At 43.4% G+C, this 20501-nt stretch overlaps 1 protein-coding gene and 1 pseudogene across 8 annotated transcripts in view; one reads left to right on the top strand and one right to left on the bottom strand.

The window, feature by feature from the left end:
* Nucleotides 1-20501, bottom strand: part of IQCK (IQ motif containing K) — a 140197-nt gene that overhangs the window by 19885 nt on the left and 99811 nt on the right. For all 8 annotated transcript variants that reach the window (NR_130967.3, NR_130968.3, NM_001394805.1 and 5 more), the window contains one exon: nucleotides 11446-11557. Coding sequence is in view for 6 of the 8 variants with exons in the window: in NM_001394805.1 (NP_001381734.1) it covers nucleotides 11446-11557 (112 nt within the window). In the remaining 2 variants the exon portion in view is untranslated. The remainder of the gene's footprint in view (nucleotides 1-11445; nucleotides 11558-20501) is intronic.
* Nucleotides 18955-19079, top strand: LARP7P2 (LARP7 pseudogene 2; annotated as a pseudogene).

Here is a 20501-nt window from a genome sequence, read left to right as displayed (position 1 = left end):
TGCTGTCCTGTAGGCCGGGCCCCAGCTTGACAAGGCAGACAGAATTTCCCATTGCCCTCCCGGTTAGCTCCAACTTGCATTCAGAAAGAGTCATTCTGGGTGTGACAGGTTCAAATGTAGTGACAGGAGGAGCCTCCTTCCAGAATATGTGCTTCCTACCTTCTCAAACATGTGATCAAACTTCACAAAAATCTCCTTTAAACCTCCCTACTCTTTTCCTCCAAACTTTCCCAAATTGCCAAATACCGAATTCATGCCTCCCTCTTCTCTGCCTCACCCTCTAAACTTCCGGATTTACTCTCTGCCTCCCCCAGTGATCCCACCTCGCTTTCCCCAACAAAAGCCCAGTAGTGGGCAGAACATTCACCATCTATTGTTCTTGCCTTCAACGTTGAGACCAAACTCCCAAACCCGGCAACAGCCACCAAAACGGCATCAACAGGTTTTCAAGGTTTAGATTCGCCCAGACAGCAGGCCTCTTGCCTGGGAGGCAGGATATTCTACAGCAAACACCTATGGGATATTCTGTTTTGCTGTTATAGAGATTTCCTGATTCAACCATTCAATTTTTCAAAGCAGAAAACAAGGTCCATGTAGCTGGTAAATTGCACAGTCGAACAGGAACTCAGATCCCCTGAATTTTAGACCAAATGAAACTGCATTAGTGAGAAGAGCCTCGCAAAGGAAGATTTTGAATCCAAAGCTATTACTGGGATCTTGTAGCTAATCCATAGTATTAGGGCTTTGCTGATGTGGTTACAACACATTCTCTACCAAGAATAAACCCATGTAATCACTTTTTCTGGCCTCTAGCCTGACACAGCTTATAAATTTCCCCCAGGAGATTCTAATCTGCAGCCAGCATTGAGAACCACTGCTGTACATAAATTACCTGGAATAAAAACTTTATTTTTGCTGACAGCTTTAAAAAATATTACTAAAACCAGCCACCAGTTACTGACCATTCACTTTGTGCCAGAGATCTATTTAATTCCATACACGGCTGTTTTACTTAATCCTCACAGTAGCCCTTTGTGACAGATCCTAATTGTCCCCACACAACAGAGGAGAAAACAGCCTGGAGAGGATTAACAACTTGCCCAGGAACCATCCTGATGGTAAAAGGCAGGAGCTCGGTTCTGTCAGACCCTCCAAAGCCAATCTTTTTATTTTTATTTTTTTGAGACAGGGTCTTATTCTGTTGCCCATGCTGGAGTACAGCAGCGTGATCATGGCTTTCTGAAGCCTCGACCTCCCAAGACCAAGAGATCCTCCTGCCTCAGCCTCCCAAGTAGCTGGGACCACATGCACAGACCACCATACCCAGCTAGTTTTCATATTTTTTGTAGAGATAGTCTCTCTGTGTTGCCCGGGCTGGTCTCGAACTCCTGGGCTCTCGAGTGATCCTCCCATCTTGGCCTCCCAAAGTGTTGGTATTACAGGCATGAGTGACTGCACCTGGCTGCCAATATTCTTAACAATATGTATTAATGATATGTTGAATGCTTTGCTTAATTAATAATAATTATCATTTATTGATCACTTATTATGGGCCAGGCACTATTCCAGTTCATTTAATCCTCACAAAAACTCTATGGCTTGGTTACTAGTATTAGTATTGCCATTGTATTGCCAGACAAACTGAGTCACAGAGAGGTTAAGCAACCTGCTCGAGGTTGCACAGTGAGAAATGGGAAACTTAGCCCAATCTGGTCATGAGCCGTCTAGGGGTTTGTAGATTTATCTATATCCTTCAAAAGCATTCCGCATCAGCCAGGCACGGTGGCTAACGCCTGTAATCTCAGCACTTTGGGAGGCCAGGGCGGGCGGATCACAAAGTCAAGAGATCAAGAGCATCCTGGCCAACATGGTGAAACCCCATCTCTACTAAAAATACAAAAATTAGCCAGGCGTGGTGGCGTGCGCCTGTAGTCCCAGCTACTCGGGAGGCTGAGGCAGGAGAATCACTTGAACCCGGGAGGCGGAGGTTGCAGTGAGCCGAGATCACATCAGAGATGAAGCTCATGAAGTTGGAAGTGGTCATTCGCATAAACTTCAATACAGGATCTTGAACTTTTAGGGCAAATCATTAAGAAAGGAAATCATCTTTTATTTTTTAATCTCAGAACAGTAGGGATCTTCAGGCATTGCAGTGGGAGGCTTCTGTCATGTCATAGCTGTGCAGACTTTTGCAAATTTTAAATGAAAAGATATGTGTAAAAGTTGATGTCATCCAAACATCCCCAGACACTGGTGAGTCCTAAAAATAGAATTGGTGAAGGCAGTGCCAAGGCATGAAGTCACTAGATGTCTCTTAATCAAATTATTTATTTTTCAGGTTAAAATGGAGAAGGAACTAAGTTTTGAGGAACTATGAAAGAAAAAAATGAAAATGAAAATGACACCTTAGATTTACAGATATATTTCTTCTGAAGGAGCCATGGTCCTATCAAAACAATGACCTCATTTAGAATTATTACTAAGGCATAAGAATTCTCATTTTACAAGTAGAGAAAATGTAGCACAAAGATGACATCATCCATCAAAAGTCCCACAGTGGGTTGGTAGCATTAAGTATAAATTAATATAACATTTTTGGATGACAGTATGGTGATCACTGTCTAAATTTAATATGTGGGTGTCCTTTGACCCAGCAATTCCACTTCTAGGAATTAATCCTATAGAGGTACTTCTACAAGGCTGGGCATGATGGCTCACGCCTGTAATTCCAGCACTTTAAGAGGCCGAGGCAGGTGGATCACCTGAGGTCAGGAGTTCGAGACCAGCCTAGCCAACATGGTGAAACCCCGTCTCTACTAAAAATACAAAAATTAACTGGGTGTGGTGGCACTCGCCTATAATCCCAGCTACTCAAGAGGCTGAGGCAGGAGAATCACTTGAACCCGGGAGGTGGATGTTGCAGTGACCCAAGACTGTGCCACTGCACTTCAGTCTGGGCGACAGAGCAAGACTCTGTCTCAAAAAAAAAAAAAAAGAAAAGAAAAGAAAAAGAAATACTTCTACAAGCAAGCTAGAATATAGTTACAACAATGTTTATGGAGCATTGTTCATAATACAAGCCAACTATCCATTCATAGGAATTGGTTTTACAAAAGTATGGTACAGCGCTATCATTTTTATGGAGCCACTAAAAATAATGGGATAGATCTGTGTGTGCTGGCATGAAGCAGATGGCAATGATATATTGCCAAGTGAAGAAAAAACAAGCCAGTTACAGTACAGCATATATAATATGGTTACATGTTTATAAATATATATATTTACGTTTTTTATTTTTTTGAGACAGAGTCTTGCTCTGTCACCCAGGCTAGAGTGCAGTAGTGTGATCTCGGCTCACTGCAACCTCCACCTCACTGCAACCTCCACCTCCTGGTTCACACAATTCTCATGCCTCAGCCTTCCAAGTAGCTGGGACTACAAGCATGTGCCACCATGCCTGGCTAATTTTTTTGTATTTTTAGTAGAGACGGGGTTTCACCATGTTGGCCAGGCTGATCTCAAACTCCCGGCCTCAAGTGATCCGCCTGCCTCGGCCTCCCAAAGTGCTGGAGCTATAGGCATGAGCCACCGCACCTGGCTTATATTTGTATGTTGATAGATGAATGGGAAAACTATGGGCTGATATACTCAACAGTGATTGTCTTTGGAAAATACATCACTAAAACTTGACCTTTTTTGTTAGATGATAGACTGTTGGTCACAAAGGTTCTCAACTAATGGTAGAACTCACTTCCTGAGCCACAGGCTAGAGTGTTCCTGGTACCCAGGTTCCCTCTCTGGTGGCCAAACCTTTCTCTGCTCCTCAAATGTAGATGGACAGAGGATTTGGAAAGAGGGAGAAAAGAATATTCTTATCCTTATTCACTTAACCCTGGTTTCTTGCTTTAGTGAAAATATCTCCCCAAAACACTCATGTAGATCCTGCAGCCTTTGAATGGGGCTCTCAGCCTCCTCTACTGCCAAGCCTCCCCTATACTAGTGGTCTGTGGTCACTCCAGTGTCAGGGTGCAGGCTGGGAGGCATAGCCAGACACTGCCTGCTGTCCAGCCTGTGGGTCCTTAGTTACCATGCTGAGAAGCTTTGCACTGGACCACTGTGGCCTATTGGGCACTTGGGTTACAGAACAGCATGGCCTGGGATGGCTCTAGCCTCTTTGGCATCAGGTAGATCCGGGTTCAAATCCCTGGTCTCTGGCCTGACTGGCTGCGTGGACTTGTGCAAGCCATGTATCCTCCCAGCCCCGGTTTCCTCATCTGTACGATGGAGATGATCTCACCTCTCTGAGATACCATGTGTGAGGACTACGTGGAAACATAAGGTGCTTAGTGTAGTGTCTGGCACATGGCATAAGCTCCATCGCTCGTAGCTACTCCTTAGTTGCAGACATCCTTCTTTGCTCTCGGCAATGCACCCAATTACATGGGCTAGGAAGGAAAGAACTAAGTTCCAGCATATCTTATGTATTTATTTATTCTGAGATGAGGTCTTGCTCATTACCCAGGCTGGTGTGCAGTGGTGCAGTCACCGCTCAGTGCAGCCTCGGGTTCCTAGGCTCAAGCAATCCTCCCACCTCAGCTTCCTGAGTAGCTGGGACTACAGGAGTGTGCTAGCACGCCTGGCTAATTTTATTTTTTGTAGAGACGGGGTCTCATTGTGTTGCCCAGGCTGGTCTCGAACTCCTAGGCTCAAGCAATTCTCCCACCTTGGCCTCCCAAAGCACTGGGATTACAGCTGTGACCACAGCCTCCAGCAAATCCTAAGGTCACAAGCAGGTGGGGCGGTAAGATGAGGTGTTCATCTTAAGAATAGCCTTTAAACCACAGGGAAATCCTAATCGCTAGGATTTGTCATTGTGGTCTAAATTAAAATTAGGGAAAAGAACTTTCTCTGGTCTCCACCCTCTACTCTGGGCTTTCATGTTTTCCCTCTAGAAGGAAACACTGCTCTAAGAAACTTACTATATTTGGGAATAAAATGGTGTTCAGTATGTTATAGTGTCCTCTTTATGAAAGAAAAATCAAGTCTCAGCTCCAGGAAGGTGTGCTTCCAAGAAACTCACTTAATCTTGAGGACACAATAAATCATTAATAATCGTATTTCCTTTATTGTTGTGGCTTCCTGGAAGCTCAGAGCCATATTTCTATTCACTATAGGAACATTTTTGAGGCCATGATTCACATTGCATAATGTATTAGGGAAGCGCTGAGTATTTCCCGAACAAATGGCCCTTTGTCTTTTTTCTTATGGACACTGTGAATTTATGTAATAGATTCTATTTCCATCTTACTTTGGCAGGTTTTCCTAAGAAACTTCTATGTTGGTCAAAGGGTACAAACTTTCAGTTATAAGATGAATAAGTTCTGGGGATCTAATGTAAAGTATGGTAACTACAGTTAATAATACTGAATTGTTTATTTAAAAATTGGTAAGAGAGCAGATTTTAAGTGTCCTCACCACACACATACACACACACAAATCGTAACTAAGGGTGATAGATGTGTTCATTAATTTGATCATAGTAATCATTACACAGTATGTATGATACGGCTTGGCTCTGTGTCCCCACCCAAATTTCATCTTGAATTGTAATCCCCATGTGTGGAAGGAGGGATCTGGTGGGAGGTGACTGGATCATGGGGGAGGTTTCCCCCATACTGTTCTTATGATAGTGAGTGAGTTCTCATGAGATCTGATGGTTTATGTTTGACAGTTCCCCCCTCACTCTCTCTCTCTCCTGCCGCCATATAAGACGTGCCTTGCTTCCCTTTTGCCTTCCGCCATGATTTTAAGTTTCCTGAGACCTCCCAGCCATGCAGAACTGTAAGTCAATTAAACCTCTTTTCTTTATAAATTACCCAGTCTCAGGTATTCTTTATAGCAGTGTGAAAATGGACTAATACAGTATACGAATATTAAATCATCATGTTGCACACCTTGAATATATATAATTTGTATTTGTCAGCCTAGGCCTTGAAGTTAAGTATTTTACTTACAGAACTGAGTGGCTTTATTTTTTTCCCTAATCTTAATTATTCCTTAATTACCACCTTTACCTAAAAATATCATATTGTGTGTATTTCCGTAACTACTAAAAACCACTCTTGGAATGAAGTAGGAAATAAAACAGTTAAGCAAACAAAAAGTAGACAATTCATTTCCTTTGACAGATCAATCTCTCCAAGTCTCTGCCTTTTCTTCAAAACGTTAAGAAGTGATAGTTATTTAGAGATTATTTGTGCATATATAAAGAATATACACACAAACACATACATGATAAATTTATCTGATGATATATATGATGTATATATATGTGTGTGCATATATATATACACACACATAGGTAATGTAATCTGATGTTATGGGAACAATTTCTATGGTTTCTTTCTCCCTGCTCATACTAGATTTCTAAATAAAATATGGATATTCAATTACAAAGCACATTTGAAAACAATTACTGACTATGTGAGGCTAAAAATATGCTATTAATCGAGACACGATATTTTTTACTACATCTCAAAAATGACTTGGGCATCTTATTTTAAACTACATTGGCTGAAATTCTTACCATACACGTTTTAAAATAATTCCTGCATCTGTCCTGATGGATAGAGACTTGAAGATAACTTCACACCGCTTCCATCCTAGAAGAAAATACTGTTTGGGACAGTCAGTCTCTGACTCACTGTAATGTGAGACAGGCTATATATGACCACAATTCCACCCCGACAGCTGATGTGACTCTCCCTCAGACCTCCTGACTGCCCAAGGTTGCTCTAAGCTATGAACTTGGTAAAATCTCTTTGTACTGTAAATGCCGGAGCACAATGTGGATAAAATGGCAACAACTTAAAAAGATATGCCTGTCTCCTGGATTTGTACATAGATGAGCTTTTTTTTTTTTTAATGAAGTTGAAAAACCATTTTCATTTGCAATCACTCCACTATTTTTTATTGCAAGTCTAAAGGAGAACTAGCATGTGCTTAACATCCATTTTCAAACTGCTTCACTGCAAGCCTTTGAGGTCTAATTGAGGTGTCACCTTGGCTGGGGAGATTTATTTTGTAACCCCCCACACTACCCAGATTCATAAGGTTTAAAATAGGAAGTAACTCTAGCGCATGAGCTTAACAAAGTGATTCAACTCGGCGACAGTTAAAGGGAACAAGAAGTTCTGCTTCACCTGGTGTGCAGCAGGTTGTACTCTGCTTCTCGTAATTCAGCCCCTAGCTGGAGGCTTCAGTCCATGAAAACATAAACAGCAAGAACCCTGAAGCCCAGAGAGGAAACTGAACAGGTCATATGTCATGTTCCAGAAGATTCCTGAGAAGCTGGGTCTGAGAGCAGAATCTAAGAGAATGTCTTAGCTCTCTGCATCTGTCCTCCAGGATATGTTAGAACACTGGACAGAGAAAGGGAAGTCCTGGGCCCAGCCCCAGGCTCTCCTCTGCTGTGTGACCTTGGGCAAGTCATTCAATCTTGCTGGAACTTCATTTCTTCATATGTAAAATGAAGCCCAGAGCTTCATCCCCTAAATATGTTCAGACCATCTGCTCTGTGCCAGGCTCATGATGAATAAGACAAACACGGTCCTACATGAAAGCCCATGGAGCTTGGAGTCTATTGGAAGAAATCAACACAAATATTTTAATAATACTATCATGACAATAACTAACATTTATGGGAACTATGTGCCAGGACTTGTTCTAAAGATCATCATCTCTTATAATCTTGTAATAACACTTGTACGAGATAGACACTATTATTACTAGTCCCATTTTGCACAAGGGAAAACTAAAGCTTCATGAAGTTCAGTAGATCAGGGTCACATGGATAGAAGTGGTAGTTAGGATTCCAAAGGCAGGTCTGGCCAACTCCAAAGCCCGGTCCTTTACCTGTCCTTTCTGCTGTCCTGACTTCCTTCTTAACTGATCACAGACCTGGGGACAGACTTCAGAATTGGCTTGTTTGCCCAAAGGCCATTTCACGGTCTCAGCGTATATGGGAACCTATCCATGGGTTCACACTGGGGTATTTACTGAAGAGGTGTTTCTTGTTTGGAAAGCACGGCTCACTCCTTCTGGAGCCCTTGGAAGGTGGCACGGGAAGCCAGCAGCAGATGGTGGAAATGGAACTGCTTCCACCAGCCCCTCCAGCCCCTCTGCTGCAGGCTGGATAAAAGCATGAACTCCAGTCTATTCTCCCTGCTCCGAAGCGAGCCCAATCAGTCAATCAACCAACTGCAAATCAAATCCAAAGAATACAGACCAACAGAAAGAAATAGGCATGCTGCACTTTCCTCGACCTTTAAACTGATTACAGCCCTGATTGCCTTCCAGTTTTGAAGCCAAATGAAACTGCAGTTGTGCATGGAACAGAGGCCTGTGCTGAGCCAGCCAAACAGTGATAGCTCAAGCTGCTTCTTTACAAGGGCAGCTTAGATCACCAATTTGATGTGCTCCTACTCTGCACCAGGAACTTTGTTTATTGACTCATTTAAACCTCACAGCTCCATTCATTCATTCATTCATTCATTCATTCATTCATTCGTTCAACTGATATTTATCTGGTGCTCACTTTGTGCCAGGCACTGTACTAGGAGTTAAGCCAGGCAGACACATCACATCAGGAGGTACCATGATGTCAATGTGTCCTATTATTTCATGCAGGTTACATGCTAGTGGGGAAGACAATTGTCCAGTAAATAAATTTAGGTTGGGGCAAAAGTAATTGCATTTAATGTCATTATTTTTAATGGCAAAAACTGCAATTATTCTTGCACCAACCTAATAGCAGCTGTACAGTCAAGCATCAGCGGGACTTGTTGCCCAGAGCCGAGAGCACAGGCCTAAAGGACTCCACATTTTAAAGAAAGCACAAAACAACTGGGCATCTCACATCTCCTTAGGTTCTCCATCCTGGCTGAGCAATAGGCATGGTGGCTGATGCCTGTAATCCCAGCACTTTGGGAGGCCGAGGAAGGAGGATCACTTGAGGTCAGGAGGTCAGGACCAGCCTGGCCAACATGGTGAAACCCCGTCTCTACGAAAAAAACGAAAATTAGCTGGGCATGGTGGCAAACGCCTGTAATCCCAGCTACTTGGGAGGCTGAGGCATGAGAATCGCTTGAACCCCAGAGGTGGAGGTTGCAGTGAGCTGAGATTGCGCCACTGCACTCCAGCCTGGGTGACAGAGCGAGACTCTGTCTCAGAAAAAAAAAAAAAAGGAATAGGAAGTACAGAGTCTCACGGTGAAGAAGGCATTGGCACATTGTAAGAGCAGAAAAGAGACTAGAGGGGCTGCAGCCCACTGAGGGAGGATGGGGACAGGGTAGGATGGGGAGGTTAGACGACCCAAGGCATGATGGCCTGTGGCCTGCTGAGGGATGTATGACTATTTTTTGTAGTTTCTCATAATTATAAAGTACTATATGCTTATCTAAAAGATTCCAACAGTGTGGTTCCACCCCTCTGGTCCAAATTCTCAAAGGTAACTACCAATAATTTTCTTTCCAGACTGTTTAGCATCTCTGTGTTTCCATGCATATATATAATATATATTTATATATATTTAATTATATATATAATTATATATTTATATATAATTTAAATAATTAAATAATTAAAATATATTTAATTATATATATAAAAATATATAAAAATATATATAATATATATTTTATATATATATTTATATATATATATATTTTTTTTGAGACGGTGTCTGGCTGTGTTGCCTAGGCTGAAGTGCAGTAGCACGATCTCGGCTCACTGCAACCTCTGCCTTCTGGGTTCAAGTAGCTGGGATTACAGGTGCCCGCCACCATGCCCGGCTAATTTTTGTATTTTTAGTAGAGACAGGGTTTCACCATGTTGGCCAGGCTGGTCTTGAACTTCTGACTTCAGGTGATCCACCCGCCTCAGGCCCCCGAAGTCCTAGGATTACATTACAGGCCATGCATATTTTTTTATATGAATAAAAACTTATAGTTCTGCAATTTAATTTTCCCCATTTGAAAACATATCAGGTTGGGCACGGTGGCTCATGCCTGTAATCCCAGCACTTTGGGAGGCCAAGGCGGGCAGATCACCTGAGGTCAGGAGTTTGAGACTAGCCTGGCCGATATGTATGGTGACACCCTGTCTCTACTAAAAATACAAAAATTAGCCGGGCATGGTGGCAGGCACCTGTAATCCCAGCTACTCGGGAGGCTGAGGCAGGAGAATTGCTTGACTCCAGGAGGCGGAGGTTGCAGTGAGCTGAGATCCGGCCACTGCACTCCAGCCTAAGCGACAGAGCGAGACTCCATCTCAAAAAAAAAAAAAAAAAAAAGAAAAGAAAGAAAACGTATCAGCCAGGCGCGCTGGCTCATGCCTGTAATCCCAGCACTTTGGGAGGCCGAGGCAGCAGATCACTTGAGGTCAGGAGTTCAAGACTAGCCTGGCCAACATGGTGAAACCCTGTGTCTACTAAAAATACAAAAATTACCCAGGCGTGGTGGAGCAAGCCTGTAATCCCAGCTACTCAGGAGGCTGAGGCTGGAGAATCACTTGAACCCAGAAGGCGGAGGTTGCAGTGAACCAAGGTCACACCGCTGCACTCCAGCCTGGGCGAACAGAGTGAGACTCTGTCTCAAAAAAAAAAAAGAAGATATCGGCTCATGAAATTATGGTGACTGAGAAGTCCCACAATCTGCCATTTGCAAGCTAGAGACCTAGGAAGTCCAGAGAACCAATAGTGTAGATTCTAGTCTGGGTTTGAAGGCCTGCGAGCCAGGAGCACCAAGGGCAGAAGATCAAGGCCCCCAGCTCACATGGCCAGGCAGAGTCCATGCAACCTTCCTCCACCATTTTGTTCTATTCAGGCCCTTAACAGATTGGATGAAGCCCATTAGGGAGGTCCATCTGCTTTATTTGGTCAATCAATTCAAATGCTAATCTCTCTGGAAACACCTTGACAGACAGATCTAGAAATAATGTTTAATCTGGGCATCTCACAGCCCGGTCAAGTTGACACATAAAATTAGCCATCGCAAAAGGGGAGAAGACAAGCATAAAATACCATCTGAGTTCAGACACACAATCAACAACTTAGAAGAATAACTATAACTATCCATCATACTGATAGACACTGTGTTTCCAAAATAATGGGTTATTCTTGATGTCTTGTAGCTTCAAAAATAGAAACTGCAGACACAGGGAGACACTGAATTTGTCCCTGTGGGAGAGAAATGGCCCTGTAAATTATATCACATCACCTCTGTCATTCCATAGCAGAATCTTAATATGCAGCCACTTCCCCCATGCACAAGCTGAGTTCCATGCAGACAAGGACCTTACAAAAGCTCAGAGGGCCTCCTTCTTGAGCCTGGAATAAGAATCAGGCTTTTCTTGAATGAACTAAGGACAGTGAATCCAGCAACTTACCTTTTTGTTCTTGCTTGGCCCAGAAAATTTTGACTTGCTGGTGAATGTGCTTGGCCTCGCGAAGTTTCTTCTGCCACTGACGCAGTTCTTGAATCTCAGGATCACAGCGAACCTGGAAAATCCCAGTAAAACTTTAGTCCCTTTTCGACACACTTCTGTACACTAGCTTATTAACCCTGCATGGAAAATCCTTTACAAACCAGTTGGATGTACTTTTGATTCTCAATGAATCATCGTCCTAAATGAATTATTGACACTCCTAGAGCTTACATCATATTTGAGCATAAATGAGGTTGTGTGAAGATTTGCTATAGTAATAGTAGGTTAAGAATGAATAGGTGTGTGCTGTCCAATAGAAAGATAATGCAGCCACCACATTTGTAACTTTAAACTTCCTGGCATCTCATTTTAAAAAGTAAAAGCAAGCAGGTAAGATTATTTTTAAGAATATATTTCACTTGGCCAGGCACGGTGGCTTACGCCTGTAATCCCAGCACTTTGGGAGGCCGAGGCTGGCAGATCACCTGAGGTCAGGAGTTCGAGACCAGCCTGGCCAACATGGTGAAACCCCCTCTCTACTAAAAATACCAAAATTAGCTGAGTGCGGTGGCGGGTGCCTGTAATCCCAGCTACTTAGGAGGCTGAGGCAAGAGAATTGCTTGAACCCGGGAGGGGAGGTTGCAGTGAACTGAGATTGTGCCATTGCACTCCAGCCTGGGCGACAAGAGAGAAACTCCATCTCAAACAAACAAACAAGAATATATCTCACTTAACCTAAAACATTCAAAATCTTATTACTTCAACATGTAATTAATATTAAAAAAAATTATGCTGGGCATGGTGACTCATGCCTGTAAATCCCAGTACTATGAGAGGCCAAGGCAGGAGGATTGCTCAAGCCCAGGTGTTCAAGACCAGCCTGGGCAACATAGTGAGACGTCATCTCTATAAAAAATAAACAAAATTAGCTGGGTGTGGTGGTGAACACCTGTAGTCCCAGCTACTCAGGAGGCTGATATGGGAGGATTGCTTGAGCCTGGGAGGTTGAGGCTGCAGTAAGCCAAGATTGTGCCACTGCACTCCAGCCTGAGATCCTGTCTCAAAAAAATAAAAATAAAAAATTATTTATGAGTTATCTTACTTTCTGTTTTACATGCTAAGTCTTCAACACTGTGTGTTTTTGCACTTACAACATACTTCATTTCAAGTGCTCAACAGACACATGTAGCTGGTGGCTACTATATAGAACAGCACAGTTCTAGGTTCACCACAGTTAATGCATTAACCACAGTTCTATTTAACACTGACTGCTTACTTCATACCAACTTTTGTGCTAGACGTTGAGATTAAAGAGATGAATAATAGTAATTTCAACAATAATTATTTTTATTTTTATTATAGCTCATATTTATTGAGCATTTATCTCCCAGGCATGGTTTGAAGTATCTTACAAATTTTATTTCATTTTTTATTTTCTTTATTTTGTAGAGAAAGAGTCTTGCCATGTTGCCCAGGCTGGTCTCAAACTCCTGGGCTCAAGCCTTGGCCTCTAAAAGTGCTGGGATTACAGGTGAGAGCCACTGTGCCTGGCCAAATATTTTACATTTTTTTTTTTTTGAGATGGAGTTTCGTTCTTGCTGCCCAGGCTGGAGTGCAATGGTGCAATCTCAGCTCACTGCAACCTCCACTTCCCGGGTTCAAGCAATTCTCCTGCCTCAGCCTCCCAAGTAGCTGGGAATACAGGTGTGCACCACCAGGCCTGGCTAATTTTGTATTTTTAGTAGAGACAGGGTTTTACCATGTTGGTCAGGCTGGTCTCGAACTCCTGACCTCAAGTGAACCATCCGCCTTGGCCTCCCAAAGGGCTGGGATTACAGGTATAAGCCACTGCTCCCGGCCTATTTTACAAATTTGAATCACTAAGCCAAGCCAATAAGGCAGGAATGATTATCTCCATGTTACAGATGAGATAACTGAGTTTTAGTGGCTTGCCAAGTCGTACTGGATATGGTGGAGCTGGAATTAAAACTTGAATGGATTGATTCCAGCTGCCTTTGAGAAACTTAAAGTGTAGGAGGAGACACAGGAATAAGATCAATAAGGTATGGTAAGACTAGGGAAGTTGGTGAGTGCAAGGGAAAACAAAGGGGCATCGAACCCAGCCTTGGAGAGGTCAGAAAACCCCTGGGCTGTTTTGAAGGACGAACTAGAGTTCACCATGGAAAGAAGGGATGGAGTGTAATTGTGTTCCTGGGAGAGATACTGGCCTCTGCAAGAGGTGCAGAATGGTGAAACAGTCTTGGATGATACAGGAATTCCAAGGTGAGAAAGTAACAAACGGCTCAGAAAGGCCACAGCCACTCACATCCTTCCTCTTCCTGGTTCATCTTTCTACCTCTTCACTTGCCAGAGGAGCTGCATCTCACAAAGCAGATTCCAAGACTGGAAGGGAGTGATTTTACATATGTGGATGTGTGTCAACTTTATCTTGAAAGATAAGTTAAAGTCACAAAAGAATGCTGTGAGACAACCTGAGAAATGAGATCCAACATTTTCCAAAGAAGTCCCTGACTCAGCTCTCTAACTATTAAATAGGGCTACTTTGGGGGTTCCCCTTATTTCGGAGGTACCCAGCCCCTGCAGCCACATGCTGGTACCGGTCCATGGCCTGTTAGGAACCAGGCGGTACAACAGAAGGTGAGTGGCGAGTGAGCAGGGAAGCTTCATCTGTATCTGCAGCCACTCCCTATCGCTCACATTACCACCTGAGCTCCACCTCCTGTCAGATCAGTGGCAGCATTAGATTCTCATAGGAGCATGAATCCTATTGTGAACTGCACATGTGAGGGATCTAGGCTGCATGTTCCTTATGAGAATCTAACTAGTGCCAGATGATCTGTCACCATCTCCCATCACCCCCCAGATGGGACCACTTAGTTGCAGGAAAACAAGCTCAGGGTTGCCACTGATTCTACATGATGGTGAGTTGTATAATTATTTCATTACATATTACAATGTAATAATAATAGAAAGAAAGTACACAATAAATGTAACGTGCTTGTATCATCCCAAAACCATCCCCCAACCCCAGTCCCTCATCCATGGAAAAACTGTTTTCCACGAAACTGGTCCCTGGTGCCAAAAAGGTTGGGGACCACTGTCTTAATCAACTTTATTTATTTATTTATTTATTTATTTATTTTTTAAGAGGGAGTCTCACTCTGCCGCCTAGGCTGGAGTACAGTGGTGTGATCTCACCTCACTGCAACCTCCGCCTCCTGGGTTGAAGCAATTCTGCTGCCTCAGCCTCACGAGTAGCTGGGATTACAGGCATGCACCACCCCATCTAATTTTTGTAGTTTTAGTAGAGACTGGGTTTTGCCATGTTGGCCAGGCTGGTCTCGAACTCCTGACCTCAGGTGGTCTGCCCACCTCGGCGTCCCAAAGTGCTGGTATTACAGGCGTGAGCCACTGTGCCCAGCCAGCTCCATTCATTTTAAATGAGGCAGTAGCTGTGTATTCTAGAGGAACAGTTGCCTGAACTGGAATGAGCATGCAGAACTGGGGCAGTCACATGCCACATGCCCCGGTCAGTGCTTCCCTCTCTAGGCCGTGGTCCCCTCATGTCTCCCCAGGGACCCCAGGTGTCCTCTTCTCTTCTTAAAGCCACAACTCAGACCAGCCGGTCTGATAGTCAGGAACTACTGTCTCTCCTGCTGGGAGGGATGCAGGGCACACTGAAGCAGAAATAGAAACCTGCTAGGCCTGCAGGACCCAGCATTTAAGAGAAACTGGTGAAGGGAGTGCAGGATGAGGACAGACCAGAGAGCCAGGCTTGTCTAAAGGGGTCGGCTGCTCCCCAACTCTGCTGACCATGGGGATGCCACCAAGCCAAAGCTCAATTTCTTGCTTTTTCAGATCACCACTGGATCTTGGGACTTCCTACCTTGGTCCCTGGGCTTCCTACCATGGTCACTGCTATCCTTTGAGGGAGCCCAAGCCTGGGCTCCCAAGTTTCAACTTGCTCGAGTTACCCACACATCCACCATCTTAGGACACAAACACAGTCCCCAAAGGGTGAGACCGAGCCAGGTTTCACCATCAGCTACCACCTAGCCCCAGAACTACCATTCCCTCTCGTCTATCCCCTATTGATAGAGGGGCCACCTCTTCCAACTCTCTTAATAATTTTACATCAAAGAGCCTTGTTGTCCTTTCCCTCCACTGAAATTTTATCAGATTCACAAGGAACCTTAGTGATTTTTTTAAAATTTGGTCAAATACACGTAGCATAAACTGTACCATTTTAATCCTTTTAAAGTATACAGTTCAGTAGCATTAAGTACACTTACAATGTTATGCAACCATCACCATTCTCTCATTGCAACACATTTTCATCAGGCCAAAAGGAAATCCCACATTCTTTAAGCAGTGAATTCCCATTCTCCCCTCTCTCTACCCCAGCCAACCACAGACCTACTGTAGTCTCCATAGCCTCTCTGTGTCTTTAGATCCACAGTCTCTCTGGATTTGCCTATTCTGGATATTTCCTACAAATGGAATCGTACAATCATGTGTCCTTTGTGTCTGGATTCTTCCAGTCAGCATATCATATTTTAAGGTTTATCCACATTGCAGCATGTATCAATACTTATTCCTGAATAATATCTATCGTATAGGTATAGGACATTTATTTTTATCCATTCATCACTTAATGGGACATTTGTTTTGCTTTTTTTTTTTTTTTTTTTTGAGACAGAGTCTCACTCTGTCACCCAGGCTGGAAGGCAGTGGCATGATCTCAGCTCACTGCAACCTCTGCCTCCCTGGTTCAAGCAATTCTCCTGCCTCAGCCTCCCGAGTAGCTGGGATTACAGGCACCTGCCACCACGCCCAGCTAATTTTTGTATTTTTAGTAGAGATGGGGTTTCACCATGTTGGCCAGGCTGGTCTCGAACCCCTGACCGTGTGATCTGCCTGCCTCGGCCTCCCAAAGTGCGGGGATTACTGCGTGAGCCACCTCACTTGGCCGTTTTTTTTTGTTTTTTTTTTTGTTTTTTTTTTTTTTTTGAGACAGGGTCTCATTCTGTCGCCCAGATTGTAGTGCAGTGATGCATGATCTTGGCTCACTGCAACCTCCACCTCCCAGAGTCAAGCAATCCTCTCACCTCAGCTGGGACTACAGGCGTGCCACCACACCCAGCTAATTTTTTAATTTTTTGTTTTTGTAGAGACAAAGTTTCACTATACTACCTAGGCTGGTCTCAAACTCCTGGGTTCAAGCAATCCTCCTATCTCAGCCTCCCAAAGTACTGGGATTACAGGTGTGAGTCACCGAGCCCAGCACTTAATGGAACATTTAAGTTGTTCCTACCTTTTGGCTATTGGGAACAGGGTTGCTATGAACATTTGTGTATGAGTTTTTGTTTGTTTATTTATTTATTGAGACGGAGTCTCGTTCTGTCACCCAGGCTGGAGTGCAGTGGCGTGATCTCGCCTCACTGCAACCTCCACTTTCAAGCGATTCTCATGCCTCAGCCTCCTGAGTAGCTGGGATTACAGGCACATGCTACCATGCCCAGCTAATGTTTTGTATTTTTAGTAGACACGGGGTTTCACCATGTTGGCCAGGCTGGTCTTGAACTCCTGACCTCAGGTGATCCACCCGCCTCGGTCTCCCAGAGTGCTGGGATTACAGGCGAGTTTTTGTTTAAATACCTATTTTCAATTTGGAAGGGGAGTTGTAGACCTAGAAGTCGAATTGCTGGGTGACATGGGTAATTTTACATTCAACTTATTGAGAAAACAAACTGGTTTTCACAGTGGCTGAATCATCTTGTATTCTCACCAGCAATGAATGAGGGCTCTAACTGAACCACATTCTTGTCAACACGTGTTATTTTTGATTTTTAATTTTACATTTAAATTTCATTTTTAATTTAATTTAATTTTTTCTTAAATTAAATAGGGTCTCGCTTTTTTGCCCAGGCTGGTCTCAAACTCCTGGGCTCAAGTAATCCTCCCACCTCATTCTTCTGACTAGCTGGGACTACAGGTGTGTACCACTGTGCCTGGCTCTGTTTGTTTTTCACTATAGCCATCCTAGTAGATATGAAGTGGCATCTCATTGTGGTTTAAATGTGTACTTCTCTAATGTTTAATGACATCGAGCATCTTTTCATGTGCTTGTCGCCTGTCTGTATAACTTCTTGGAGAAATGTCTATTCAAGGCCTTTGCCCATTTTATTTGTTTACTTTTTTCTCCCTCCACTTCCCTTTGCCCTTTTAAACAGTGGGTTGCTTGTCATTTTGTTGTTGAGTTGTAAGAGTTTATTATATGTTTTGGACACTATACGCTTCTCAAATGTATTATATACTAGTATTTTCTCCCATTCTGTAAGTTGTCTTTTCACTCTCTTAATAGTGTACTTTGATGCAAAAGGTTTTAAATTTTGATAAAATCAAATTTATCTTTTTTTTTTTTTTTTTGATACAGAGTTTCCCTCTGGTGCCCAGGCTGGAGTGCAATGGCACAATTTTGGCTCACTGCAACCTCTGCCTCCCGGGTTCAAGTGATTCTCGTGCCTCAGCCTCCCGAGTAGCTGGGACTACAGGCGCCCGCCCCTGCGCCCAGCTAATTTTTTGTATTTTTAGTAGAGACGGGGTTTCACCATGTTAGCCAGGATGGTCTTGATCTGCTGACCTCATGATCCACCCGCCTCGGCCTCCCAAAGTGCTGGGATTACAGGCGTGAGCCACCAAGCCCAGCAATTTTGTGTTTTTAGTAGAGATGGGGTTTTGCCATGTTGGCCAGGCTGGTCTCGAACTCCTGACCTCAAGCGATCCACCCACCTTGATCTCCCAAAGTGCTAGGATTACTACAGACTTGAGCCATTGCGCCTGGCCTGAAATTATCTATTTTTTTTTCTTTTGTTATTTGTGCTTTTGGTGTCATAGATAAAAAATTATTGCCAAATCTAAGATAATAAAGATTTATCCCTATGTTTTCTTCTAAGAGTTGGGTAGTGTAGCTCTTTGATCCATTTTGAGTTAATTTTTATATACGGTGTGGGGTAAGGGTCCAATTTCATTTTTGGCATGTGGATATCAAGTTGCCCCAGAGCCATTTGTTGAAGAGGCTATTCTTTGTCCCACTGAATGGTCTTCGCACCCTTATCAAAAATCAATTGACCACAGAGGTATGCGTTTATTTCTAGACTCTTAATTCTTTTCCCACAATGCATGTTTTTTTTTTTCAAGTTAAACTGTATGGACTTTCTGTATTTTTAGTAGAGACAGAGTTTCACCGTATTAGCAAGAATGGTCTAGATTTCCTGACCTCGTGATCTGCCCCCCGTGGCCTCCCAAAGTGCTGGGATTACAGGCGTGAGCCACCGCACCCGGCCAAAATGTATGGACGTTCTAAATAAGGTATAGGAGTGGTAAATAAAACTAAGTCTCTAGTTATTAAATTTTGACATAGTCAATACTGCTTCCAATTTATCATATGAATTACTTCCAAACATGTTAATCACAGCTGGATTGAAAGAGCATTTGGGAAATGTGGAAATATTGTCTATAGAATACATTCTAAGTCTACTGGCGATCCAAAGAGATTTGCCCTTGTGAAATTTTTTTTTTTTTTTAGATGGAGTCTCACTCTGTCACCCAGGCTGGAGTACAGTGGCACGATCTCGGCTCACTGCAACCTCCACCTCCCGGATTCAAGCAATTCTCCTGGTTCAGCCTTCTGAGTAGCTGGGACTACAGGCACCCGCCACCATGACCGGCTAATTTTTGTATTTTTAGTAGAGACGGAATTTCACTATGTTGGCCAGGCTCGTCTCAAACTCCTGACCTCAAGTGATCTGCCAGCCTCAGCCTCTCAAAGTGCTGGAATTACAGGCGTGAGACAACACACCCAGCCCCCTGTGGAATTTGAAACAAAAGAATAAGTAGCAAAAGCTACCGTGATAGGTCCAGATCCACCAGTGGTGGGGAGCCCAGCCTTAACACACTCACCATCGTGGACACCCTTTAACACTTCATCTCTCTGATCCTGTTCTTCTATAGCAAAGGCCTCCAACAGGTTTTGATAACTAGGAAACTTGGGGAGAAATATTGGGATTGCGGTGATCTCAATCCCTTTCCTCCCAGACAATTCTAGATTTTTTATGCCAATTGATCCAATGCCACCCCAGAGCTTTACTCGCCGAGAGGAATTTGGATAGACGGTCTTGTCAAACTCAAGAAAAATAAAGTCGTTCCTATTACTTCCTCTTCCAGAGCATAGGGTGCCTTACTTGTTTTAAGAAAACCATTCAACTGATTTTTTTACTCCCAAATAAAGAAGATTGATTGTTTTCAGCTAAACTTACAAATGGAAGTTTACCTTGCTTAATAAAAAGAAAATACACAATTTATCTCTAAATATATATAAAAAACGGCTGAGCACGATGGCTCACACCTGTAATCCCAGCACTTTGGGAGGTCAAGGCGGGCAGATCACCTGAGGTCAGGAGTTCGAGACTACCCTGTCCAACATGGTGAAACGTCATCCCTACTAATAATACAAAAATTAGGTGGGCATCGTGGTACATGTCTGTAATCCCAGCTACTCAAGAGGCTGAGGAAGGAGGATCACTTGAACCTGGGAGGCGGAGGTTGCAGTGAGCCAAGATCGTGCCATTGCACTCCAGCCTGAATGACAAGAGCGAAACTCCGTCTCAAAAAGAAAAATGTATATATGTAAAACGTTATATATGTGTATACACACACACACACACACACAAAGTAGTGTGTCATGCAAATCTCAGAGAGGAAAATCAGCTCTATATTAATGTCACAGAACATGGGATAAGCCCCCAGATCTTTATGATTACAAACCAGTGTTTTTACAGTATTTCTTAAAGTCTCATGCTCATAAGAATCAGGCATCCTAGACATCTCGGTTCTGGGTAGGATGAGTTATCATATCTTACTAGCCATAACTTTAGCTGTGATCTCAGCAACCCAAACCCTCCTAGAGGCGAAGGGCAGGGGAGGAGGCAAACAAG

The sequence above is a fragment of the Homo sapiens genome, chromosome 16 (genome assembly GCF_000001405.40).
Source record: "Homo sapiens chromosome 16, GRCh38.p14 Primary Assembly".
Taxonomy (NCBI): domain Eukaryota; kingdom Metazoa; phylum Chordata; class Mammalia; order Primates; family Hominidae; genus Homo; species Homo sapiens.
This window is presented reverse-complemented; position numbering and strand designations above follow the sequence as displayed.